This window comes from Homo sapiens, chromosome 1, assembly GCF_000001405.40.
Source record: "Homo sapiens chromosome 1, GRCh38.p14 Primary Assembly".
Lineage (NCBI taxonomy): Eukaryota > Metazoa > Chordata > Mammalia > Primates > Hominidae > Homo > Homo sapiens.
The window spans coordinates 61,741,609-61,769,235 of record NC_000001.11 but is presented as its reverse complement, the minus strand read 5'-3'; the positions used below and the strand labels follow the sequence as shown (position 1 = coordinate 61,769,235).

At 42.9% G+C, this 27,627-nt stretch overlaps 1 protein-coding gene and 1 long non-coding RNA gene across 23 annotated transcripts in view, besides 1 other annotated feature; one reads left to right on the top strand and one right to left on the bottom strand.

Annotated features, from left to right (window-relative positions):
* Window positions 1-26,756, bottom strand: part of PATJ (PATJ crumbs cell polarity complex component) — a 421,436-nt gene extending 394,680 nt beyond the window's left edge. For 21 of the 22 annotated variants that reach the window (XR_007061928.1, XM_011540462.4, XM_011540467.4 and 18 more), the window contains exons 1-4: window positions 26,681-26,756; window positions 6,322-6,378; window positions 6,057-6,223; window positions 2,763-2,957 (exon numbers count right to left, since the gene is read on the bottom strand). Coding sequence is in view for 21 of the 22 variants with exons in the window: in XM_011540462.4 (XP_011538764.1) it covers window positions 2,763-2,957; window positions 6,057-6,223; window positions 6,322-6,343 (384 nt within the window). In the remaining variant the exon portion in view is untranslated. Of the gene's footprint in view, window positions 1-2,762; window positions 2,958-6,056; window positions 6,224-6,321; window positions 6,379-22,103; window positions 22,138-26,680 lie in introns of those variants that run through there. The other variant, XM_011540463.3, reaches the window with a different exon arrangement.
* Window positions 26,295-27,004: a silencer, noted in NCBI's record as "silent region_944". NCBI's record gives its function as "represses an Ori minimal core promoter by ATAC-STARR-seq in GM12878 lymphoblastoid cells {active_cell/tissue: GM12878}" and the evidence as "EXISTENCE:reporter gene assay evidence [ECO:0000049][PMID:35858748]".
* On the top strand, window positions 26,452-27,238 carry PATJ-DT (PATJ divergent transcript). The gene has a single exon (NR_185910.1). It is a non-coding gene; the product is annotated as a PATJ divergent transcript (long non-coding RNA).
* The last annotated feature ends 389 nt before the right edge of the window (window positions 27,239-27,627 follow it).

The following is a 27,627-nucleotide window of genomic DNA, read 5'->3' as shown; positions in this document are numbered from 1 at the left end:
AACATACTCTGTCTGCAGAACTGAAATTGCTTAGCATAAAAGCAGCTTCCCCTAAGAACCACATAAACTCAGCATTTCAGTAATAAATTATTTCTGGAAATCCTCTCACCTGATTATTTCAGTAGAACGTAAGAGAGAGTGTGTGCAGTGTTCTGCAACCTCAGGGAATCAGAGGTATTTTCACACTTCATTCACATTATGAGATGAATTCCAAGCTGGATGGAAACTCCTGAGAAAAATGCCTTTTCCCATAGTAAATTCTGAATTACTTTTTTACATTGAATTTCCTTAAATTCTCTCAATGCAAAGTACATTTTTATTTTATTTTTTTTCTTGGAGACAGGGTCTCGCTCTGTTGCCCAGGGTAGAGTGCAGTGGCGTGATCTCGGCTCACTTCAGTCTCCGTCTTCTGGGCTCAAGCGATCCTCCTGCCTCAGCCTCCTGGGTAGCTGGGACTATAGGCATGCACCACCATGCCTGGCAAATTTTTGTATTTTTTGTGGAGACGGGGTTTCGCCATGTTGCCCAGGCTGGTCTCAAACTCCTGAGCTCAAGCGATCCACCCGCCTCAGCCTCCCAAATTGCTGGGATTACAGACGTGAGCCACAGTGCCCAGCCGCAAAATATATTTTTAAATGAGGAAAATAGATATATCAAAAATGCCAGTATTTAGCCTGTCAGAACCAGCTGCATTTTATAGGGCTCTGTTTTTAATTCTATTGTTGATTAATTGATATCTATTTATTTATTTATTTATTTATTTTTTGAGACGGAGTCTCACTCTGTCGCCCAGGCTGGAGTGCAGTGGCGCAATCTCGGCTCACTGCAAGCTCCGCCTCCTGGGTTCACGCCATTCTCCTGCCTCAGCCTCCCGAGTAGCTGGGACTACAGGCGCCAGCCACCACGCCTGGCTAATTTTTTTGTATTTTTAGTAGAGACGGGGTTTCACCGTGTTAGCCAGGATGGTCTCGATCTCCTGACCTCGTGATCCGCCTGCCTTGGCCTCCCAAAGTGCTGGGATTACAGGCGTGAGTCACCATGCGCAGCCCAATTGATATTCTATTTATTAGGTAAATTCAAAAGACTCTGAAAAGGCCACCATTTACACGGGTTCTACCTGTAAGAACAGGTAGAACTGTTCTTGTGACAGCCAGGTATTTTATTGCTTTAGTTAGTAACTGCACTTATGAGAACTTCATAAATGTAATCAACTAAAAAAAGCACCACATAAAAATAATTACTAGTCAGATGAAAGAGATAGAACTGGCCCGGCGCAATGGCTCATGCCTGTAATCCCAGCACTTTGAGAGGCCGAGGCGGGAGGATCACGAGGTCAGGAGAGACTATCATGGCCAACATGGTGAAACCCTGTCTCTACTAAAAATACAAAAATTAGCCAGGCGTGGTGACACACGCCTGTAGTCCCAGCTACTCGGGAAGCTGAGGCAGGAGAATCGCTTGAACCCAGGAGGTGGAGGTTGCAGTGAGCCAAGATTGGGCCACTGCACTCCAGCCTGGGCAACAGAGCAAGACTTCATCTCAAAAAAAAAAAAAAAAGAAAAGAAAAGGAAAGAAAGAAAGGGATAGAACTATAAAGTCAAAAACTAGGACCAGAATATTATTTAATTATCACACCTTAAACAGATTCTATTTAACACTGCAACTTAAGTTTGTCTATTTATTTATTTATTTTTTAAGAGACAGGTCTTGGCTCTGTCACCCAGGCTGAAGTACAGTGGTACGATCATAGCTCACTACAGCTTTGAATTTCTGGGCTCAAGTGATCTGCCAACATCAGCCTCCTAGGTACCTGGAGCTACAGGTGAGTGCCACCATGCCCGACTATATTTTTATTTTTATTTTTGTAGAGATGGGGGTCTCCCTACATTGCCCAGGCTGGTCTTGAACTCCTGGCTTCAAGCAATCCTCCTGCCTCTGCCTCCCAAAGATTATAGATATAAGCTACCACATTCAAACTTCATTTCATTTTTAATGGCACTTGAAGGTCGAGGTGAACATACATAAAACTAACATGTCCAAAATTTTAATTGTTTATTATTTAATTTTTAATAGGTATTAGGGGCTACAACCAGATTATCCTTCCAAATGTTTTCTAGATTTTCCAAATTACATTAGTTCTAATTTCCATTAATTATGGGGTGTCACCCAGGCTGGAGTACAGTGGCGCAATCTCGGCTCACTGCAACCTCCGCCTCTGGGGTTCAAGCGATTCTCCTGCCTCAGCCTCCCAACTATCTGGGATTACAGGTGCCTGCCACCACGCCCGGCTAATTTTTCTATTTTTAGTAGAGACAGGGTTTTGCCATGTTGGTCGGGCTAGTCTCAAACTCCTGACCTCTAGTGATCCACCCTCCTCGGCCTCAGAAAGTGATGCAATTACAGGTGTGAACCACTGCGCTTGGCCAAAAATCTTATTTTAACAAGAATAGAGATGTGTTCAATTAGTCATTGTCTAAAAACTCTCCTTAGCAAGACCTTATCTCAAAAAATAAATGTTAATTTTTTTTTAAAAAGCTCTCCTTACCACATACATGGATACTTTCCTTATGTAATTTTAAGTCAATAAATTTTCAACACACAGGTTAGAAAATGGTGTCAGTTTCTCCTAACAATATAAAAATAGAAGCAAGCAAAATACATACTAATACATTTTACAGCAAAAAGAATGAGTATAAGCTCCTTTGTAAAACTAAAACAGGAGAAATGAAGCTAAATATTTCCATGAGAAGATACAACTTTACCTGAGCCATCTGTTGAATGACTGAGTTAAAGTCTTCATTTCCCAACTTCGGGGTCCACGGAAATAACCCAGATACAGTCGAGTTATTAGAGGGCCTGTGGACATTTCCATTAGTGATGGAACCATCTGTGAACACTAACAAACCTTTCCTAGAAAAATCAAAGTTGGCTGAACAATCTGAGGGTATATGGTTGAGCTGTTGGAGAGAAAAAAAAAGAATCAACAGAAATCTATAGAAAAATTGTTTCTATTTATTAAATATATTTTGACCATTACATAGATACTTTGCACATTAAATATATACATGGAAAAGAAATAAGGTAAAGATAGATCAAATCTGTGTATTCACAAGGCTAAAAATTTTTTAAATTTAGTATTACACAAAATGTTTAATAGCTTAAAATTTGTTCTTATTTCCTGCCTTCTACCACTAGTCCAAGTTAACAGCATGTACACTGACATCTTTTTACACTTCACATATACAGATGCATCCAGTCACATAACAGTGTAAGGCACTAAACCTTTTTCCATTTATCTGTACAATTCCACGTGGGGAGCAACAAAAGATCCACAGGTAGTATATAATGATAATAACTGTACTTATTGAGTGCTTGCTATGAGTAAGTACTATACCAGCATGATTGCAGGTATTATCATTTAATTCTTACAACAATCTAATGAGATATCATTATCCCATTTTGTGAGCCTAAAAACCGAGGCACACAGGGGTTAAGTAACTTACTCAAGATTAGCAGTGAGTCACGGAGCCACTTAAACATTGATAGAAAGAGGAGAATCATGTAATTATGGTGGACATAATTTAAAATATCATTGGCTGATACAACTGCCAAAACAGTAGAATAAAGGTAACATTAAGAATAAATGTCAGTGGTGAAACCCCATCGCTATCAAAAATACAAAAATTAGCCGGGCATGGTGGTACACACTTGTAATTCCAAGGTACTTGGGAGGCTGAGGCAAGAGAATTGCTTGAATCCCGCAGGTGGAGGCTACAGTGAGCCGAGATTGCACCACTGCACTCAGCCTGGATGACAGAGCAAGACTCTGTCTCCAAAAAAAAAAACAGAATAAATGTTAGGCCGGGTGTGATGGCTCACACCTGTAATCCCAGCACTTTGGGAGATCAAGGTGGGAGGACTGCTTCAGGGCCAGGAGTTCAAGACCAGCCTGGGCAACATAGTGAGACTCTTGTCTCAACAAAAAATACAAAAATTAGCTGGGCATGGTGTCACATGCCTGTAGGCCCAGCTACTTGGGAGGATGAAGTGGGAGGATTGCTTGAGCCCAGGAGGTTGAGGCTACAATGATCCATAATCACACCACTGTACTCTAGCCCAGGCAAATACTCTGCCTCAAAAAAAAAAAAAAAAAAAAAAAAAAAAAAAAATGAATGTCAATAAAACCTCAAAGAAAAAATAAAAAACCCCTGGCTACAGGGATTATACAGTCCAATGCATAAAATATGACTGTGTACATAACAACTCCAAACTATACAAATATAAAGAATTGTTATTAGGATAGGGTAGTTACAGCCACTCTTAGTCCAACAAGTGTGATAGATTTCTGCTGATCTTTGCCAATTTCAGTTGCTACCAACAGCATTCACTATTGTGATATTCTGTGACCAAGAGAAATACAGAAAGCTAAACATCAATATAGGCAGTGCTAAAATTAGGGTATAAATTCTGGTCTAAAGAAAGCAATTCACAGAAAGACACATGTAGAATTTAATCCTTAATTGGCTATAAACAAATCACTCACAAAATACTTAATGGGCAAGCATTTTAGTTTATCAGCAAAAACCATTTTTTCCCAAATTTTGTAAATTTTCACTTAACTGTGCTAAATTAGCTCCAATTATGTTTTAAATTCTGCCCAAATTTCATCTATGGTATAGCTACTATTCAAGTTCAGCTTCCAGAATAGGTGATTTAAAAGTAATTTGCCATCCCTGACCCCAAAACAAAGAATCCAAGAGGACAGTTAAAACAATTAATTTCTGGTTCAATCTCAGCACCAAAAAAAAAAAAAAATCCCACAACTGCTAATTTGCACCCCTCTAAGAAGAGGTGATATGTGTCCCTTATTCAATAATGATGTATTAGAGCCTGAAGAATCCAGATAGTGTGGTAAATGAGTAGAAGAAACATAACTATATATTTAAATACCAGGTATTCTGCTTCCAAGGAACTTCTAATCAGAATACGCATGAAAGACAACAAATATTTGATAATTAAGAGAAGTGTGACTATTGTGCTATAAGGGCATGATCACTTCTTGTTAGATAAAAGACTTCGGCCGGGCGAGGTGGCTCACGCCTATAATCCCAGCACTTTGGGAGGCTGAGGCAGGTGGATCACAAGGTCAGGAGATACAGACCATCCTGGCTAACACAGTGAAACCCCGTCTCTACTAAAAAAAATAATAATAATAACACACACACACAAAAAAAAAGACCACACACACACACAAAAAAAGACTTCATAAGGAAAATACGCCTGGGCAAGGTGGCTCATGCCTATAATCCCAGCACTTTGGAAGGCTGAGGTAGGAGGACTGCTTGAGGCCAATAGTTTGAGACCAGCCTGGGCAACATAGGGAGACCCTGCCTCTATAAAATTTTTAAAAATTAGCCCAACTGTGGTGGCACACACCTATCCCAGCTACTCTGGAAGCTGAGGTGGGAACATTGCTTGAGCCTGGGAGGTCAAGGCTGCAGTGAGCTAGGATCACAGCACTGCACTCCCGCCTCAGTGACAGAGAGAAACCTTGTCTCAAAATAAAAAGAAAATATATTTAAGTTAAGCACTATTTTATAGTTTTGAAGATGTTGAGAATTCTCAAAGCATCTGACCTTTACATACTTAAATAAGTACAAAAACCATATTCTAAAACCAAACACAATTTTTTTTTTTTTTTTTGAGACAGGGTCTCAACTCTGCCATCCAGGCTGGAGTGCAGTGGCATGATCATAGCTCACTGCAACCTGGAACTCCTGGGCTCAAGCAGTCCTCCCACCTCAGACTCCTGAGTTGCTGGGACTACCGGTACATGCCACCACATCCAGTTACCAAAGAAAAAATTGATTATTGATATTTCTAAATTATCTATGCCAATGCTACCCACAGGTTATAGGTTACAGGTCCCAATACAGTCTCTTTGCTGAACTGAGTCCTTAAAGATAATTTGTCTTTGTCTATCTCCTCTATCTTTCTTTGATGGTTTGAATATATTAATATAATATATTAATGTAAAACTCTGATGGGTAACTTACTTGACCCTTCAGTTGCTTGATGGACTGCTGAAGTGTGAGTATCTGGTTGAAGAGAGGACTCTTTAGTGTCTCATAAAACATAGATAACTTCTCATTCTGCGACGTGTCACCCTTCTCCTGCAATTTCATTTTCAGGCGATCAAGTACCTGCAGCACCTGCAGTTTATCTTGGGTCAAGATGAATAAGTAGAGTAATAGTTAAGTCCCATTTGAGATTCCATTTTTAAATAATTAATTTAATTATAGAACAATATATCCAGTATACCTGTAGCAGGATTTTCAGGCATTTTGAATTATTCTCTTCAATCACTCTTAAAGACACCTAAAGAAAAAATTTAACAATATAAAAGATGAATTTCAATTGTATATGGCTACAATCCTGTAGAAAAATTAAGGAAAACCTCAAGAACATTCTTTATCAAGGCTCCACTCAGTGAAATTCAAAATTATAACCACAATGAGGTGCCACTACACACCCACTAAGGTAACTAAAATTTAAAAACAGACAACACTAAGTTTCAACGAGGCTGTGAAGTGCCTGGAACTATTATTGTACATTGCTAAGAGAAACGTAAAATATCACAACCACTTCGGAAAATTGGTAGTTTCTTATAAAGTTAAAAATACACTTACTATATGACCCAGCACTTCCACTCACAAATACTTACTCAGTATTCATGAAAATATATGCTCACAAAAACGCCTGCACATGAAAGTTTACAGCATTTTTATTTACAAAAACCCCAAAACTAGAAAAACCCAAGTGTCTAGTAACAGATGAATAAACAAATGGTATATAATATTCAGAAATAAAAAGGAAAAATTACTGATACACACAACAAGGATAAATCTCAAAAATGATATGTGGAAAAAAAGAAACCTGACCCAAAAAAGGCACAAACCATACTGTATGATTACATTCATATGAAGTTCAAGTACTGACAAAACTAATCTACAATTATAGATTAATTTACCTGGGGCAGGGTCATAGGGAACTGACTATGACAGGCTTCAGAACATGCTACTCCCAAAATATGACACCTTGGCATTGTTGAATATTTTAAGTTGAAGGAATCTGAGAAACAGCAGGTGCAAAAAAGACTTCCCCTGAAGCAGATCATAGGATCCTCATGTGAGAGGTGTCCTCTCTATACCCAGAAGATAGCAGCATCTTAATCTCAAAAGACAGAGTGGCCGGGCGCATTGACTCATGCCTATAATCCCAGCACTTTGGGAGGCCGAGGCAGGAGGATCACTTCTGCCCCAGAGTTTGAGGCCAGCCTGGGCAACACAGTGAGATTCCATCTCTACAAAAAAAATTCAAAAATCAGCCACCCATGGTGGCACATACCCATAGTCCCAGCTGCTCAGGAGGCTGAGGCAGGAGGATCACTTGAGCCCAAGAGGTTGAGGCTGCAGTGAGCTATGATCATGCCACTGCACTCCAGCCTGGGGAACAGAGTGAGACCCTGTCTCAAAAATTAAAAAAAAAAAAAATAGAGGAACACCCAGAGGAATATGAACAAACAGGCCTTGTTAAGTTTTTCCCTGTTTACTACTCTTGGCTCATATCCCTTTCTGTCCTATCACATTCCACAACTCTTCCTTCTTCATCAAACCTAATTTAAAAACACTCAGGTTTTACTGTTTCTTCGGGTCTTCCTTTCCTTATGAAGGCTCCCATGTCACATAAAACTTATATTAAACAAGTTTACATGTTTTTCTCTTGTTAATCTACCCTTTATTACAGGGGCCCCAACCGAAAACTTAGAAGGGTAGAGGCTATTTTCCCTCCCCTACACTGGGAAGGGGTTCAAGGAAGCTTTTTTGGAGTGATGGACACATTGTGTCTTGAAGGGGGTATGGTTTACACAGATGTATATACTTATCAAAATTTATTGAACCAGGCCAGGAGCAGTGGCTCACTGTGATCCCAGTACTTTAGGAGGCCAAGGCAGAAGGATCACTTGAATCCAGGAGTTTGAGACCAGCCTGTGCAACAAAGTGAAACCTCATCTCTACAAAAACAAAAAAATTAGCTGGTGTGGTGGCTTGTACCTGTAATCCCAGCTACACTGGAGACTGAGGTGAGAGGATCGCTTGAGCCCAGGAGGTTGAGGTTACAGTGAGCCATGATCATGCCACTGCACTCCAGCCTGGGTGACAAAGGGAGACCCCATCTCAACAAAAAATAAAAGAAAAATTCCCAAGCTGTACAAATGATCTCAGACTCTTACTAGTCATCTACAGCTTGAAAGAAACCACCCAGGCTGGGCGCCACGGCTCACACCTGTAATCCCACACTTGGAGAGATCGAGGTGGGTGGATCACCTGAGGTCAGGAATTCGAGACCAGCCTGGCCAACACAGAGAAACCCCGTCTCTAATAAAAATACAAAAATTAGGCGTGGTGGCACTCACCCATAATTCCAGCTACTCGGGAGGCTGAGGCAGGAGAATTGCTTGAACCTGGGAGGTGGAGGTTGCAGTGAGCTGAGCTCATGCCACTGCACTCCAGCCTAGGCAATAAAGCCAGACTCTGTCTCAAAAAAAAAAAAAAAGAAAAAGAAAAAGAAAAGAAAAAAGAAACCACTCAAAGTGGCATTCTCTATGGATAATGTTTTCTTAATTCCAGTGATTTGATGAAATTAATCTAAAATGTAACGTAATTAAAAACTCAAAAGGCTAGCAAAACCCTTTGCTATGACCAAAATGAGACATTTTCAGTGATCATTTTTACTAGTGATACACACTTGTAATGAACCATCAAAGAAATACAAGTATTATACAATCAAAATTTTCTTACATCAACCTGGATATGGTGGCTGAATGACATCTTTATCTTCTAATTCAAGATCATTAAGCAAAAAAACATATTGAAAACCAATAACGGATGCCATTGACATTGATAAAAGGTCTAAGTATTCCATCCAAATGTTCACTGGATTCAATGGGAATACCAAAAGAAGTGCTGAATAGAGCATCAAAAAAACACTTCTGATGTGCTCAGCATCTCAACTGTACAACTCTTACAACTACCCAGTGACAGGTAACTGTGAATAACAAAAGGGCAGTCATGACAGCACTGTACTCTCATATAGCAGCATACAGCCCAACAGGATTGACAAGAGCGGCCTGCTGGTCATTAACACATCAACCTCTCTAAATCGAAGAATGCAAACTAAAACAATAAGATGACATTTTTTTACTGCCAAATCTCAACTGACATTTATTGATTTATTAGAGATTAATAATAGTTTATACTCCAAATGTCATGAAAAAATAGGTGGAAATAAAAATTTACACAATGTATACTGACACTGCTAAGTTGTCCTAAGAGTGTACAATTTTTACTTCTGAGTGTCACTCTGAAAGAAAAACTGGCAAAGGGGGACAAAGATGTGTGTGCAAGGGTATTTACCACATTTTTAATAGCAAAACTCCTGGAAAAAGTAAATTATCAAAAGCGATCAGCCCGGGCGCTGTGGCTCACGCCAGTAATCCCACCACTTTGGGAGGCCAAGGTAGGCGGATCACTTGAGGTCAGGAGCTCGAGACCAGCCTGAACAACATGGTGAAACCTTGTGTACTAAAAACACAAAAATTTGCTGGGCGTGGTGGCAGACGCCTATAATCCCAGCTACTTGGGAGGCTGAGGCAAGAGAATCACTTGAACGCAGGAGGTGGAGGTTTCAGTGAGCCGGGATCGTGCCACTGCACTCCAGCCTGGGTGACAAAGCAAGACTTTGTCTCAAAAAAAAAAAAAAAAAGCAATTAAAATGATGAAATAGGTCTGAATGTACTGAAAAGGGGATGAGGGGGAAAGGGTTAACAGCAAGCCTGTGGCTCACTCCTTCAGCCACAGGGGTGTCCAATCTTTTGGCTTCCCTGGGCCACATTGGAAGAGGAGGATTGTTTGGGCCACACATAAAATACACTAACACTAATGATAGCTGATGAGCTTTAAAAAAAATTGCAAAAAAATCTCATCATGTTTTAAGAAAGTTTATGAATTTGTGTCAGGCTGCATTCAAAGCCGTCCTGGGTTGGACAAGCTTGGGGGATTCCCTGCATGACAGCTGACTTCCTAGCAAACATGATAAAGGTTTGTAATAGATAAGAAATGGTCTCTTATTTTAAAATATCAGGATATATCTGGTCTCCCTTAATTGCCTTCTGTAAATAATCTGAGAATTTATGGATGTCTGGGGCATGGCTAGCTGGAAAACAGGAGAAAATCACAGGCATTTTCTATTTGTGTAACTAGAGATTCCCCTTGGCAGGTTCAGTGGCTTTGGAGGCTGAGGCCAGAGGGTTGCTTGAGCCCAGGAGTTTGAGGCTATAGTGAGCTATGATTATGCCACTGTACTCCAGCCTGTGAGACACTGACTCTTTAAAAAACAACAACAACAAAAACTAGAGATTCCCACAACAGAAAAGGCTTTCTTTAGGAAAAACATTTGTTAATCCAAAGCAAAAACTTGTGTCCCAAGGTTGAATTTTACTTCTGTAAACAAATTAAGAACTACAGTAGGGCCGGGCGTGGTGGCTCATGTCTGTAATCCCAGCACTTTGGGAGGTCAAGGTGGGCGGATCACTTGAGATCAGAAGTTCCAGACTAGCTGGCCAACTTGGTGAAACCCTGTTCTATTAAAAATACAAAAATTAGCTGGGCGTGGTGGCAGATGCCTGATATCCCAGCTATTCGGGAGGCTGAGTCAGGAGAATCGCTTGAACCCAGGAGGCGGAGGTTGCAGTGAGCCAAGATCATGCCACTGCACTCCAGCCTGGGTGACAAGAGCAAAACTTCATCTCAAGAAAAAACAAACAAAAAAAACTACAGTAAGTTTATCATAAATACATGTAGAAGTGACTTCATATCAGTCATATGTAACTATTTTCAGTATGTTGATAATATGTCCCAATGTAGAAGAAAGTGAAATTCTTTGGAAGCTGTGCCTGCTGGCTGGGGGCTCCTCCAAGAAGGAATGCTCATCTGTGTCTGCGGCTTCTGCCTGTAACCTCTGAATCATGAGTAAGGTTTGGAGTTGGGTAAGATTTCACATTCAGATGAAGATGCTTTGACAATCCAACCCTTTGCATTAACACAGAGAAGTTAATCCAATATGCACAACTGAATGAGGAAAACAGAGTTTCAGAATGAGTGCATTATTTTCACGTTTGTAAGAAAAAAAAATGTGTGTGTGTAGGTTTCTAGAAGAAGAGTTAAGCCAAGCATGCTGGCATGTGCCTGTAATCCCAGCTACTCAGGAGGCTGAGGTGGGAGGATCACTTGAGCCCAGGAGTTCAACATCAGCATGGTCAACATAGCTAGACATACATATCAAAAAAAAGAGATTTAGAAAGATAGTCAATGTAGTAACAGAGACTACTACTAGAAAGTAGACATGAGGATGGAGAGATTTAAAAATTAAACTTTTCATTTTACAACTTTAAATGCTGCAGGTATTAATTTTATAATTTAAAAACTAGGGAGCCAGGCATAGTGGCTCATGCCTCTAAACCTAGCACTTTAGGAGACCAAGGCAGGTGGGTTGCTTGAGCCCAGGAGTCTGAAACCAGCCTGGATAACATGGCAAAGCCCTGTATCTACATAAAACACAAAAATTAGCTGGGTGTGATGGTGCACGCCTGTAGTCCCAGCTACTCAGAGGGCTAAAGTGGTAGGCTCACCTGGGCTCAGGAAGGTTGAGGCTGCAGTGAGCCGAGATAGCACCACTGCACTCCAGCCTGGGTGACAGCATGAGACCCTGTCTCAAAAAACAAAAATAAAAATAATGAAAAATAGGGCCCAATGCAGTGGCTCACACCTGTAATCTCAGCATTTTAGGAAGCCAAGGTTCAAGAATTGCTTGAGCCCAGGATTTCAAGACCAGCCTGGACAACATAGTGAGACCCAGTCTCTACAAAAAATTTTAAAAATTAGCCAGGCCTGTTAACACACGCCTGTGTCCCATCTACTCAGGAGGCTAAGGTGGGAGAATCGCTTGAGCCCAGAAGATCGAGGTTGCAGTGAACCATGATTGCACTACTGCACCCCAGTCTGGCAACAGAGCAAGATCAAAAAAAAAAAAAAAAAGTAAAAGTGACACAAAAACGATGGCCATGACAGTCTGCAAGCTACACAGTGGGATAATTATACTATAAGGCATATACACACAATAGCAGAGCAGAGGTATGTACCACGTGCTAAGAGAAATCATAAAGAGTGACTAATCCTACCTACAAAGTTTAGGAATACTGGAATGAGAACACAACAGAAAACTCTCATTGTAAATTTAAAAAACAGGCCAGGCATGGTGGTTCATGCCTATAATCCCAGCATTTTGGGAGGCAGGTGGATCACAAGGTCAGGAGTTCAAGACCAGCCTGGCCAATATGATGAAACCTCATCTCTACTAAAAATATAAAAAATTATCCGGGCGTGGTGGCGCACGCCTGTTGTCCCAGTTACTTGGAAGGCTAAGGAGAGAGAATCACTTGAACCCGGGAGGCAGAGGTTGCAGTGAGCCGAGATCATGCCACTGCACTCCAGCCTGGGCAACAGAAACAGATTCTGTCTCCCAGAACCAAAAAAAAAAAAAAAAAAAAAAAAAGTGTCCTGGTTTTAGCAATATATAAGGCTACCCTAGGTTAGTGGTTCTCAAACTTTAGCATGCATCAGAATCACCTGTAGGGCTTGTTAAAACACAAATTGCAGAGTCCCGCTCTCAGAGTTACTGATTCAGTAGGTCTGAGGTGGGCCCTGAAAATCTGCATTTCTAGCAAGTTCTCTCCTGTGACCCTGTGATGCTCCTAGACCAGACACCACAACTGAAGAACCACTGCATACAGGTGCAAAAGTGCGTGACTTTCTGTGAAAACAATAACTAGCTTTTAATAACCTAATATAAGATCTCCAGAAGTAGCAGAAAGGGGAAAAAAGACCACAGTTACTCCAAGTATAGACTGCAAACTGATGCTTGGCCCATAAAGGCACAAGTATCGAAATTGGGAATGAACATTTAGAAACTTTCCTGCAATATGGCAGAGTAAAATGTCTTACATTTAGTAATAAAAAACTTGGTGGCCAGGTGCGGTGGCTCACGCCTGCAATCCCAGCAGTTTGGAAGGCCAAGGTGGGTGGATCACCTGAGGTCAGGAGTTCGAGACCAACATGGAGAAACCCCGTCTCTACTAAAAATACAAAAATTAGCTTGGTGTGGTGGCAGGTGCCTGTAATCCCAGCTACTTGGGAGGCTGAGGCAGGAGAATCGCTTGAACCCAGGAGGCAGAGATTGCGGTGAGCCGAGATCATGCCACTGCGCTCCAGCCTGGGCAACAGAAACTCCGTCTAAAAAAAAATAATAAAAAGACACGTGGCCTTATTTTGTATGTCTTTTGAAAATTTCATTTTTTCTAATAACGTATTTTACAAAAATATCAGTTCTTGAAAGATTATAGAGTGGGGAGCCTGATCTTTCACCACTGATAGTTTGAGAAGCTCTGATTTAGATAGACTAATTTGAAAGGGTCCTTGTAAACAATGCTAAGCAGACTGGTCTTTATCCTGTTAGCAACAGGAAATAATTAAAGGCTTTTAAGTAGGGAAGTACTGAGTCCAGATTTCTATTTTTAAAATGTAATTCTGATAATAGTATAGATTAGTGGTCTTCAAACTTTTTAAAACACACATTCCCATCAGTAAAAATGTGTTGGCCATGTATCTCAATTTATTTTTAAATAATTATAAACATATACTACTATACTAACATATGTTTTAAAACATACATAAAATAGAAACTTTATGAGGGTAAGGTAAAAATGGTAAAGTTTTATTGTCATTTTCCTAAACTCTTTTTTTTTTTTTTTGAGACAGAGTCTTGCTCTGTCGCCCAGGCTGGAGTGCAGTGGCGCCATCTCGGTTCACTGTAAGCTCCACCTCCTGGGTTCACACCATTCTCCTGCCTCAGCCTCCCGAGTAGCTGGGACTACAGGCACCCGCCACTACGCCCGGCTAATTTTTTTTGTATTTTTAGTAGAGACGGGGTTTCACCATCTCAGCCAGGCTGGTCTTGAACTCCTGACCTCGTGACCAACCCGCCTCGGCCTCCCAAAGTGTAATCCCCCAGGGATTACAGGCGTGAGCCACTGCACCCTGCCCATCTTCCTAACCTCTTAATGGATCATCTTGCACATTTTGGAGACCATTCTGGAGTATCCCTTGGTAAGGATTAAGGGTAGAAATTGGTTGGCCGTCTACCTCTTATTTTATTCTATTTTTTCAGAAACAGGGTCTCATTATGTTGCCCAGGCTGTATTTGAACTCCTGGGCTCAAGAGATCTTCCTGCTTCAGCCTCTTGAGTCGCTGGGACTACAGGTGCTCATCATGAAACTCAGGTCTCTGACTCATAATTAGTAAGGTTAAACTATGTCCACAAAGCAGGCCTGGAAAATTACAATTCCATGGTGAAAAGAAATGTCTAGGGAAGAAGATTAAAGCTTTACGAGTATATAAGGCCAGGCACGTTGGCTCATGCCTGTAATTCCAGGACTTTGAAAGGCCCAAGTGGGAGGATTGCTTGAGCCCAGGAGTTTGAGACCAGCCTGGGCAACATAGCAGAACCCTGTATCTACAAAAAAAAAAAAAAAAAAAAAACATGCAAAAAATTAGCCAGGCATGGTGGCAAAGCTGTAGTTCCAGTTGCTTGGGAGGCTGAGGTGGGAGAATTACCCAAGCCCAGGAAATTGAGGGTGCAGTTAGCTATGACAAAAAAGAGTATATGACAAGAAAAGGAAGAAACACAAGTAACTCTACAACTCACTATCCATCAAACAGCACTCAGGCTAAATGGAACCTATGTCTCACTCAGGGTATGGTCATAGGAAATCTTTGGTCATTCAAATTGACCTGTTTAGTTAAGAAACCAACAGGGCTTATGGAGGGGGATTTCAACTTTGTTGAAACACGGTGAAACTGAGTCTAACTTGTCATAGATAGGCTACCTACAATTGGTCACAGCTAGAAATTAAGATGCCACATTGTACTACTGTCCTCATAGTTGGACAGCCTCCAGAGAATGAGAACTTTATTATGCTTGGGAGCTTCCACTCCATCATTGATCAAGAGAGTTTGTGCCATGAATTTTTCATATCTGGTTCACTGTAGAATGTGATTGAAGGAAATTATTATAATATTGTGGCTTTTTAAAACCCAAGGCCTAGGCCAACGCCAATTAACGGAGTATTTGAAGAGAGATAGAAATTTAATTTTAAATTAAATTATATTTTATATTTATTTTATTTATTATATATTTTTTATTAAACTCTTGATCTGATTAAGATAAAAACTTAATAAATAAAATATATAGGCTGGGCACAGTGGCTCATGCCTGTAATCTCAGCACTTTGGGAGGCCAAGGCAGGTGGATCACCTGAGGTCAGGAGTTCGAGACCAGCCTGGCCAATATGGTGAAACCCCATCTCTACTAAAAATACAAAAATCAGCTTGACGTGGTGATGCACACCTGTAATCCCAGCTACTCGGGAGGCTGAGGCAGGAGAATCGCTTGAACCCGGGAGGCGGAGGTTGCAGTGAGCCAAGATCGTGCCACTGCACTCCAGCCGTGACAGAGTGAGACTCTGTCTCAAAAAAAAAAAAAATATGTAATAGAATCAAGAATTTAGGCAAAGTAAGGATTCTGAGAAACACTTTTTGAGCTCCCAGTACTTCACAAGAATGTAATTCCCCACTGATTTACTAAGACATATGATATATCTAACCTGAAATTTGGGGAGAAAATGATCACTTGCAATATCTTTGGGAAAGAACAGGTGTTCAGCCTCTAACTGCACATGTGAATTGGGAAGGTCACAATTAGACCACACATAACTACCCAGTGGGAATTTTCCAGAGCTCATTGAACCAGGGAGTTTGAAAAATCAATGAGCAAGTGTAAATATAATTATATTTATGCTTATCAATATCAAGTGCAAAGATCAATGTCAAGTGTAAATATAGTCATGATTTCTGAAGTTTTTCAAAAATTGAAGGTTTAAGTTTCTATTGTTTCCTTTGGAGTACAAAGCTCAGGATGTGTCTAATTATCATTCCTTTGTCCTCAAAGCTCAGCATTTATGAGGTACTGATTAAACGAAAAACAAACTTTCCTAGCCAAAGAATAATGGTTGCTCTCCACCAGTACTTCAAATAAATACATCTGCTGCCATACAAATGCAGATTCAAGTCAGGTGTCCTAGCATTGTGTTCCTACCAAATAACAAGACTTTTCTAAATACCTTAAATATAAAAATACTATATTTTGGACCACTATATCCCTGGAATTTGGGAAACATATATAAATTCCAGAACAATCCTGACAGTTTGCAGATATATGCTTAAGCCTAAGCAATGTTTAAATCCTCCTGACAGTGAACATTCAGGAAATGTTGAAATTGAAGTTGAAAGACACCACTTTAAATTCAGAATCTGAAATTAAAACTTGTGAATAGTGCTTCAATGAACATAAATAAATTTTTTAAAAAAGAAATGAAGGCCAGGCGCGGTGGCTCACCCCTGTAATCCCAGCACTTCGGGAGGCCGAGGCGGGCACAAGGGAGGCCTTGGACCACAAGGGCAGGAGTTTGAGACCAGCCTGGCCAACGTGGTGAAAACCCGCCTCTACTGAAAATACAAGAATTAGCCAGGTGTGGTGACAGATGCCTGTAATCCCAGCTACTCAGGAGTCTGAGGCAGAAGAATCGCTTGAACCTGGGAGGCAGAGGTTGCAGTGAGCCAAGATTGTGCCATTGCACTCCAGCCTGGGTGACAGAGCAAGACTCCGTCTTAAAAAAAAAAAAAAAAAAAAGAAAGAAATGAAAAGAGTCAGTTTTTCAGAATAATTCAGTTAACTCATGCTAATTTTCTCATTAAACTATTCAAAGTTAACCAATGCATATCAATACTCTTCCTATAACTTGGCCACTTTTGTAGGAACAAAGTTAAACTGCTATATGGTAGGCTTCTTTTTTTTTTTTTTTTGAGATGATGTTTTGCTCCTGTTGCGCAGGCTGGAGTACAATGGAGAGATCTTGGCTCACCACAACCTCTGCCTCCCGGGTTCAGGCGATTCTCCTGCCTCAACTTCCTGAGTAGCTGGGATTACAGGTATGACCCACCACGCTGGGCTAATTTTGTATTTTTAGTAGAGATAAGATTTTTCCATGTTAATCAGACTGGTCTGAAACTCCCAACTTCAGGTGATCCACCCGCCTCGGCCTCCCAAAGTGCTGGGATTACAGGCATGAGCCACCACGCCCGGCCTTTTTTATTTTATTATTATTATTATTTTTTTGAGACAGGGTCTCACTCTGTTGCCCATGCTGGAGTGCAGTGGTGCGGTCTTGGCTCACTGCAACCTCCACCTCCAGGGTTCAAGCAATCCTCCTGCCTCAGCCTCCCTAGTAGCTGAGACTACAGGTATGCACCACCATACCTGGCTAATTTTTGTATTTTTAGTAAAGGCAGGGTTTTACCATGTTGGTCAGGCTGGTCTTACACTCCTGTCCTCAGATGATCTGCCTGCCTTGGCCTCCCAAAGTGCTGGGATTACAGGCTAGAGACAATGCACCCAGTCTATGGTAGGCTTCTGTATTCTGGTTGGTAGCAGTTTTCTCCAACGAGCAACAATGACAAAAAAAATCTGGGCAATTTTCACACTTAGAGGTCTCTGATCATGTAGCCAGTCCCCACTAAAAAGACCTGGGCATTCATACTATTCACTAATGATTAGTTTCCACCTCAAAAATGCTATTCAATTTTACCCGCACTGCCGACTGTACACTCCCAGCTTCTCCCCAGAAATTATGGTCATATCAGGAATCAGGCGTGGTGGCTCACGCCTGTACTCCCAGCACTTTGGGAGGCCAAGGAGACGGATCACTTGAGGCCAGGAGTTTGAGACCAGCCTGGCCAACATTGTGAAACCCCGTCTCCACTAAAAATACAAAAATTAGCCAGGTGTCATTGTGCACACCTGTAATCCCAGCTATTCGGGAGGCTGAGGCAGGAGAATCACTTGAATCCATGAGGCAGACATTGCAGTGAGTGGAGATCGCACCACTGCACTCCAGCCTGGGCAACAGAGTGTGAGACTCCATCTCAAAAAAAAAAAAAAAAGTAAAATAAAATAGAAAAGGGAAAGGGATACTATGAAAAAAGGTAAAAACAAAGCAAGGAAACATAGATGCCATTGGAGAGAGTTAATTCCATGGGGAAGGGGTTCAACTGTTAGTGACCTTTCAGTAGATAACTACTTTAAAAATGAGAATACTTCAAATTTTAAATGGTGGGAAGATTTACAACCTGACCCTCAACATTCACTTATCTCCCTCTTCTACCACACTACGTCCTGGAACTTCATTACAAGCGCCGAAAAATGGGTCGGGCGTGGTGGCTCATGCTTGTATCCCAGCACTTTGGGAGGCCGAGGCAGGCAGAACACCTGAGGTTGGGAGTTCAAGACCAGCCTGACAAACATGGAGAAACCCCCGTCTCTACTCAAAATACAAAAATATTAGCCAGGCATGGTCGCGGGCACCTGTAATCCCAGCTACTCAGTAGTAATAGTACCAGGAGAATCACCCGAACCCGGGAGGCAGAGGTTGTGGTGAGCCGAGACCACACCATTGCACTCCAGCCTGGGCAAAAATAGAGAAACTCCATCTCAAAAAAAAAAAAAAAAAGCTCCAGAAAATAACCCCAAGGGATACCAGGCAGAAGCCCTGCCCACCAGCCCCTATTGTCAAAGCAACATCCACTAATTATTATTAATGGAAGCTAAAGTGAAATGAAACTGACCTGTCCCTGAAAGCCCACAGACCCAGGCCTAAAAGCCATCTACCAAACCAAGCAAGGTGTGCAAAGGGTCAAAGCAAGGGCAGGACCTTGGTCTGCTTTGGTTCTAAGAGTACAACCTACATTAGAGAATGTTCATCTCACAGTGGTTCCACTAACTTCTTTGAACTATGAGGCAGCTTCCCAAGTGCAAGCAATCAATACAGACAAAATTCAAATGTGAAATTCTTAAAACACACATTGTCCTGGTTTACAATATTACTGTTCAGCAGGTTTTTAAACTTTATATAAATTACATCATACTGTATACTTATTCTTCAGCAACTTGCTATTTTAAGCTCAACTTTACATTTTTAAGATTTATTCATCTGTTATCCCAGCACTTTGGGAGGCCAAGGCAGGCAGATCACTTGAGCCCCAGTTTGAGACCAGCCTGGGCAACATGGCAAGACCCCATCTTGACAAAAAAATTTAAAAATTAGCCAGCTGTGGTGGCACACACCTGTACTCCCAGCTACTCAGGAGACTGAGGTGGGAGGATCAGTTGAGCCCAGGATGTCTAGGCTGCAGTGAGCCATGATCACACCACTGCACTCCATAGCCTGGGCAACAGAGTGAGACCCTGTCTCCAAAAAAAAAAACACCAGGCTGCGGTGAGGGGTGTTATTCATGATGATATAGGCAGTTCCTGCTCAGCCACTGTAACAACTAAGTAACATTCGATGGTAGGAATACATACTTTCTTCACCCAATCTCCTGTTGACGAGAATTTAGATCATTTCCTATTGGTCACTAATACAAAAACAGGATTAGAACTAAATGTGTACTTCAATAATCAACTTTTTGCCAGTTGATTCAATAGCCAATTATTGAAATATGGGAAATTCTATAGCCTATGAGCTTTGAAATCAGAGACTCAGGGTTTATCCCTAGGACCCGCTCTGTAGGCCAATTGTTTAAATCTCCCTACACCTCAGTCCCCTTGTTTGTAAAAAAGAGTTAATAAAAATTACTTCATGGCTGGGTGTGGTGGCTCACGCCTGCAATCCCAGCACTTTCAGAGGCTGAGGCGGGTGGATCACGAGGTCAGGAGTTCGAGACCAGCCTGGCCAACATGGTGAAACCCCTGTCTCTAATAAAAATGCAACAAGAGCAAAACTCTGTTTAAAAAAAAAAAAAAAATAGCTGGGCGTGGTGGCGGGCACCTGAATCCCAGCTACTTGGGAGGCTGAGGCAGAAGAATTGCTTGAACCCAGGAGATGGAGGTTGCAGTGAGCCAAGATGGTGCCACAGCACTGCAGCCTGGGCAACTCCATCTCAGGAGAAAAAAAAGAAAAAAAAAATTACTTCATATGTATACTGCAAACACTAAAGAGGATAATTTAGAGCATTTGGCCTAGCACATGGTACACATTCAACAAATGATAACTACTATTAGCATCTCTTTTCAATCAAAATGATTTAAAACATGGCAAAACCCCATCTCTACAAAAACAAAAACTAGCTGAGCGTGGTGGTGCGTGCCGGTGCGTGCCTGTAGTCCAGGCTGAGGTGGGAGGAACCCTTGTGCCCAGGGGGTCAGGGCTAGTGAACCATGATCATGGCACTGCAAAAGCTAATAATTAAATTATTGTAGCAGAGATTTTAGTGTGTAATCAGTAAGTTAGTTCTGAGAAGACTGAAAAATAAAATGTTTCACCACTGTAGTGAGTATAAGGGAGGAGGTTATAGAGAGGACCTATAATTTGGAGTATTAATCCATTTACATGGCCAGGCGCAGTGGCTCACGCCTGTAATCACAGCACTTTGGGAGGCTGAGGCGGGCGTATCACTTGAGGTCAGGAGTTCGAGACCAGCCTGGCCAACATGGTGAAACCCCGTCTGTACTAAAAATACAAAAAATTAGCCAGACGTGGTGGTGCATGCCTGCAGTCCTAGCAACTCAGGAGGCTGAGGCAGGAGAATGGCTTGAACCTGGGAGGCAGAGGTTGGAGTGAGCGGAGATCAAGCCACTGCACTCCAGCATGGGCAAAAGAGCAAGACTCGTCTCAAAAAAAAAAAAAAAAAAAAAAAAAAAGGCATTAAGGCAGTATACACATAGCAGTGTAAGTGCTTTGGTAAACTAAACCCTCTTAAGAATAAACATATTCAGATCAGTGGCTCACACTTGTAATTCCAGCACTTTGGGAGGCCGAGGCGGGTGGATCACGAGGTCAGAAGTTAGAGACCAGCCTGAGCAACATGGTGAAACCCCGTCTCTACTAAAAATGCAAAAATTAGCAGGGTGTGGTGGCGCACGCCTGTAATCCCAGCTACTTGGGAGACTGAGGCACGAGAATCACTTGAACCCAGGAGGCGGCTCCAGCCTTCGCAACAGAGTGAAACTGTGTCTCAAAAAATAAAAATTAATAAGATATTTTAGATTCCTTTTTACATGAAATCTGTTCAAAATCTTGTGTGTATTGTGCATTTACAGCACATTTCAATCCTAACTAACCCAATATAAAGTGGCCCATGCCCACGTGTGAGAGTGGCTTACTGTAGTAAAGTTTTAATCTATGCCTTTCCAGAAAGATCCCTGTTTGGTTTTGTTTTTTCTTCCTCCACCGTGTTTTTAGGAAAGACTTCATCAGTTCAGCTCATATGGTCTCTATGCCTTTTCTTAAAGTAACTATCTGAGTAAGAGCACTCACAAACTTGAGTTCTTCCCAATAAAAAGATCACAACTCCATAATTTTACCGGAATTAAACATAAGGGAGGAACAAAAAGCAGGAGAATAACAGCTTACAGATTACAAGACACATTCTTGAACATTCTTTTCTTTCAACCTCGCCAAATCTCTGTAAGGCAGACCATTTGCAAATGGGACCAGATTCTGGAGGACCAGAATTAAATGACTTGTCAAGCGTTATATGGTAGGTGGACCCAATTCCTTGTCTCCAAACTTTACTGGCTGGACAGCTGTACGAACACAAAAAATAAGTGAGCTCTACATCTTCAGCATCGATCTATCCCACTGACTTAAAAGGAAGGGTATTGACAGGCACTAAATTTCTCCCCATTTGCACCGGAACCTAAAATAAGGGCTTTAAAAAAGGCATCCAAATCTACACAAAACCCTAAGGAAGAAAACATAGCAATGGTCATGCAAATACCAAGGTAGATTGGTCCCGTTTCTCAAAAAACTTACCAAGTTGGCTCACCAAGGGGAGCAAAGTCTTAAGTGAACAAATTAAATCCCACTTTGGCTTCCCCAACCTAATATATTCTTGTTAAACTTTAACAAAGCAAGTAAATTCAGCCTGCTGGCTCCTCAGTGTAAGGATAATTATTAAATGCTGTTAAGTAAAAATGCAATTGTAAGAACTAGAAAATGCTGAGTCATTGTCTCAGAATCACAAGGTTCTAAATGTGAATTCACTATGAGAACATATATACAGATTTTTCTCTTTAACTTTAAAAATGCAATCTGAAAGAAAATACATCCTAATGTTATTAGTGGTTATCTCTCAATAGTAGTCTGTGTACTTTTAGTTTCTTTTTTGAAAATTTTCTCCAATTTTTCTACAATGAATATGTTAGCTTTATAGTTACAGAAATATTAATGTATGGCTTAAACTTATTACGGTTTCATTAAATGCAGAATAGAGCTTAATTTTCTATTCAGCTTCAAACACAACTATTTTTCTGATGGGAAACCCATTTTATGTGACCTTGTGATATTGCATATTGGTTTTCATCCATGATTCCTGGTTTATAACTCCCATAACTCTTGTTACAGTCTTTTATTATACTGTTGGGGTGCTTTAAGTCTCAGAAGCAGTCCCCAGAAATATCTCTGACACTCTCCTGCCCCTCCTTTCATTCGCTCCTTTTTCTCCCCAAGGCAGGACTCTAATCTTCCCCTGCTTTTCCATCTTGAAGGTGGCTGTAAAGAAATTCTCTGGGCCAGAAGGGTGGCTCACGCCTGTAAGCCCAACACTTTCACAGGCCAAATCGGGAGGACGGCTTGGACCAGGAGTTCGAGACCAGCCTGAGCAATATAACGAGACACAGTCTCTACTAAAAATTTTTTAAAAGAGGCCAGGCGTGATGGCTCACATCCGTAATCCTGGCACTTTGGGAGGCCAAGTCGGGCAGATCTCTTGAGGTCAGGAGTCCGAGACCAGCCTGGCCAACATGGCAAAACCCTGTCTCTACTAAAAATACAAAATATATATATATATATTACCCAGTGGTGGTGGCGCACACCTGAGGTTGTGACGCTGAGCCAGGACAATCGCTTGAACCCAGGGAGGTGAAGTTTGCAGTGGGTGGAGATCGCGGCACTGCACTTCAGCCTGGGCAACAGAGTAAGGCTCTGTCTCAAAAATAAATAAATAAAATAAATGAATAAAAATTTTTAAAAAAAAAAATAATTGCCAGGCCCGGTGGTTCACGCCTGTAATCCCAGCACTTTGGGAGTCCAAGGCGGGTGGATCGCCTGAGGTCAGGAGTTCGAGACCAGCCTGGCCAGCATGGTGAAACCCCATCTCTACTAAAAATATAAAAATTAGACAGGTGTGGTGGCAGGCGCCTGTAATCCCAGCTACTTGGGAAGCTGAGGCAAGAGAAGCGCTTGACCCTGGGAGGCAGAGGTTGTAGTGAGCCAAGACAGCGCCATTGCACTCCAGCCTGGGCAACAGAGCAAGACTCCGTCTCCAAATAAATAAATTAATTAATTAAAATAAAATAAAGTAAAATAATTTTGGCTAGGTGCAGTGACTCACGCCTGTAATCCCAGCACTTTGGGAGGCCAAGACAGGTGGATCACTTGAGGTCAGGAGTTCGAGACCAGCCTGGCCAATATGGTAAAACCCTGTCTCTACTAAAAATACAAAAATTAGCCAGGTATGGTGGCACATGTCTGTAATCCCAGCTACTCAGGAGTCTGAGGCAGGACAATCACTTGAACCCGGGAAGTGGAGGTTGCAGTGAGCTGAGATCACCCACTGCACTCCAGCCTGGGCAGCGGAGCAAGACTCTGTCTCAAAATAAATAAATAAATAAATATTTAAAAAAATTATCTGATCTCCCTTGTCTGATTGTAGGTCATAAGACCCCCATAAGAAGGGGTCCTGCCCATACCCTGGAGGAAGGAATGCTACAGAGAGAGGCCAAGAAAAATCTGAACAGATAGGCATTGCTGGGTTTCCCTACCCCATGCTTCAATTATGTCTACTCAATGAAGTCTCCATAAAAAGCCCAAGAAGATGGGGTAGGGAGAGCTTCTCAATATCTGAACACATGGAGGTTCCTGGAGGGTGGCATGCCCCTTCTCATACCTCACCCTGTGCATCTCTTCCTCTTGTATCCTCTGTAATATTCTTAATAATAAACTAGTAATAAACCTAAATAAGTGTTTTCTTGAGTTCCGTGAGCTGCTCTAGCAAGTTAACCAACCCAGAGGAGGGAGTTATGGGATTCCCAATTTATAGGTGGTTAGTCAGAAGCCGGGGTAAAACAATCTAGGACTTGTGATTGGCATCAGAAGTGAGGGCAGTCTTATGGGATCTGACACTATCCCCAGGTAAATAGTTTCAGAATCGAACTGTTAGATGCTCAGCTATTGCTTGATGCAGAACTGATGGGCCCACACATTTATTTGGTCACAGAAGTCCTCAGTGTTGACTGTAGTGGTGTGAGAGCAGAGGAAAAAGTTTGTGTTTTTTCTCTTACTCCTAATAGGATCTGGACTAGTAAGGGCAAATCTCTTCAGAACTCATTTTATAAGTTCTATCCATAAGTATTTCCATATTTATTAACTTTGTTATTATCTTTGTGAAAGTTGCAGATACCAGGTCAAAATCACTTTTTGTCAAACCCAAACAAACTAGAGAGCCTGAGGGAGAAAGCTCATGCTTGCAAGTCTGAGATAAAGATCGGTCTCAAGAAGGAACTAAAATAACCACCCAAGAAATTCTTTCTTTAGGAATGCAGTAATTCAGATAAGATAAGATAAGATAATCTTTTTTCCTTTTTTTTTTTTTTTTTTTTTTGAGACAGGGTTCTTGCTCTGTCACCCAGGCTGGAGTGTAGTGGTGCAAACACCACTCACCACAGCCTCCATCTCCTGGGCTCAAGCAATTCCCCTGCCTCAACCTCCCGACACACCTGACTATTTAAAAAGCTTTTTCTGTAAAGACAGCCATGTTGCTCAGGCTGGTCTCCAACTCTTGGCCTCAAGCGATCCTCCTGCCTAAGCCTCCTAAGTAGCTGAGATAACAGGCATGAGGCAGGTTGCCAGGCCTGATAAGATGCTCTCCATAACACCTGCCCAGTAATGGCATCTTCAACAATGGCCAACTCTGGCTTTCAGTCTGCAAAACCAATAAACTCTGTTTTCACGCAGCTTATCTGCACTTACTTTGCCAATAAAAGTTTCCTTTTACCCTCCCCTCTTCCATGCATATATGGCTTGCCAGGCCTGTGCACCTCGGGCTATAACGCTCATTTCTCATTCCCAAATAAATTCAACACATTTGGAGTGTTTTGTTGTTGTTGTTATTGTTAACATCTTAAAGGCCATTAGGGGCCCTAAAAACATCAAAGCTCACTTTAGCTAAAAGGCTCAATCTCACCTAACATTTTCTAATGCTGCAAACAGATTTAAGTTTTTAACCGCTGCCCCTGCCTCCACTCCTTTCAAATAGATGTGTGCAAATTAATTTGCAGCCAATAGGAATTTAGCCCAGAATGTGGTAGTATCATCCTCAGTGGAACCGACATTGTCCTTCTGGGTTTCCAAAGGCTTCTGCCTTCCTTTAAGAAACACTTGTCGCGCACCTACCAATAGCCAGACCCTAAATGCAGTCGAAAAATAAGGCCCTGAAAGGGGCACCCTCTAAATGGCAGAGGCAAGCCAGTAAACAACCAACTGGAATTCAAAGTGACAAGAGCCACTTGGAAATATGACAAAGTGCCAAGTGAAGGGGTGTTCACTTAATTCGGCCTGCGTGCGGGACGGCTGGGGCGCTTTGGAGAGTGGGAGTGATCTGAAAATGCTTTCCTGAGCTTGATTTAAAAGCAGGAGTCCAGGAATTTCCCCTAAGGCTGGAAGCACTTTCCGACAGAACCTCCCCATCTACGCAGCAAGGCTGGCAGAGCCCAGGGCCTGACCGCTGGCTTGGGAACCTCCGCTACGGGATGACCAGGCGCCGCGACGCGGCCGGGCCCAAGTCGCCCCCTCAGCCCGGCTCTGAGCACCCCCTCCTCTTTGTCCCCTCACCCCGTTCCCTCCTTCCACGGCCACCGATGGAGGGAAAGACTCCGCCCAGCTCTGGGAGCGAAACAGGGGCACCGATCTGGGCGCAAAATAGGATCCGTGCCACCCCCGAATACCAGTGGGCCGAGATTCGAGGCCCGAAAGGCCTGGGGAGGCGGGGCGGCGCCCCTCCCTGCCCGCGGCCTCGGCGAGCCCTGCGCGGCGGGGCGGGGACCACCGTGGGGTCACCCGGGCCCGACGCAGGAGGACGGCGCCCCCGCCCCGCCTCCCGGGTCAGCGCGGACGCACGCCGCGGGCGCCCCATCCTCGCCGCGGCCCCTCTGAGCGCCCGGCGGCGCCCTCCACCTCCGGCTCCCACCCACTCCAGGCGGGCGGGCGGGGAGAGCGCGGGGGCAGGGCAGGCAGGCCCGGGAAGCCCCGAGGGAGCTGCCCCCGGCCGGCCTCCAGGCGCGGGGACACCCAGGGGCGAGCGCGCACTGCACAGCCGGGACCTCACGCTTTACCTGGTGCGCTGGAGGAGCAGGTGGGAGCCCGGGTCGGGCGGGCTCGGTGTCGGCCCTGCCTCACCTGGGCGGAAGTGAGAGGCCCAGGGTGACCGCGCCTCACCTGGCAGGCCCTCCCCTCGCCCCGACTCTCCCCGCCCGGGGCGGGGCACCGGGGTGGCGCAGGGGGCGGGGGAGGGAGCCCGGGGCCGCGGGAGGCGGGCTCCAAGGAGGGAGGACGGTTGCCCTGGCTGTTTACGTGCAGGTGAATTCCTACCGGGCGCGGGATGGCCAAGGGCCTGGGAAAAGTGGGCTGTGGGGGCGGGGTGGCGGATCAGACCGCGCGTGGTGGGGACAGCCGCCACTGACGGGGAGGGAGATCCGGACAGACCGGTGTGGTTGGAGGCCTGCGTGTAGAGCGAGACCCAAGATCAAGGAAATTGAGGAGGATATCGATGAAAGCGTTGGGTCAATCCGCTTAACACTTTGTCTTTTTGCCCCTTTCCTTTCCTGTTCTCTCATCCCTCCTTTGTTTTCTCTATTCGCTGACGCAAAATAAAATATTCTAAAACGTGTAAATGTGGGAGTCATTATTTTCTTCTCATTTAGTGGAAGAAAGAAATCCAGCAGTATTTGCCTGCTGTATGCTAGGTGCTAGCTTATGCAATGTCTCATTTACTCTCTGAAGAAACTAATGAGGAAACCGTGCACCCTGTAGGTTGACTGGCCCAAAGTTTGGAACACAGGCAAGGCATTTTGACTCTAACTACAGTGATGATTTCACTATACGTTAATTTTCTTTTATTTGTGATGTCACACCTTCGAGAAAAATATGTCCCGATAGCCTTCTTCCACTCCCTTTAATAACTTTAGGCTTTTGATGATAGGGGTTTTACTTTGCCTGATACAGTCCACACATTAACGATAAAGAGAATCAATCTTCAGGTATCTTATTCATAGAGTACATA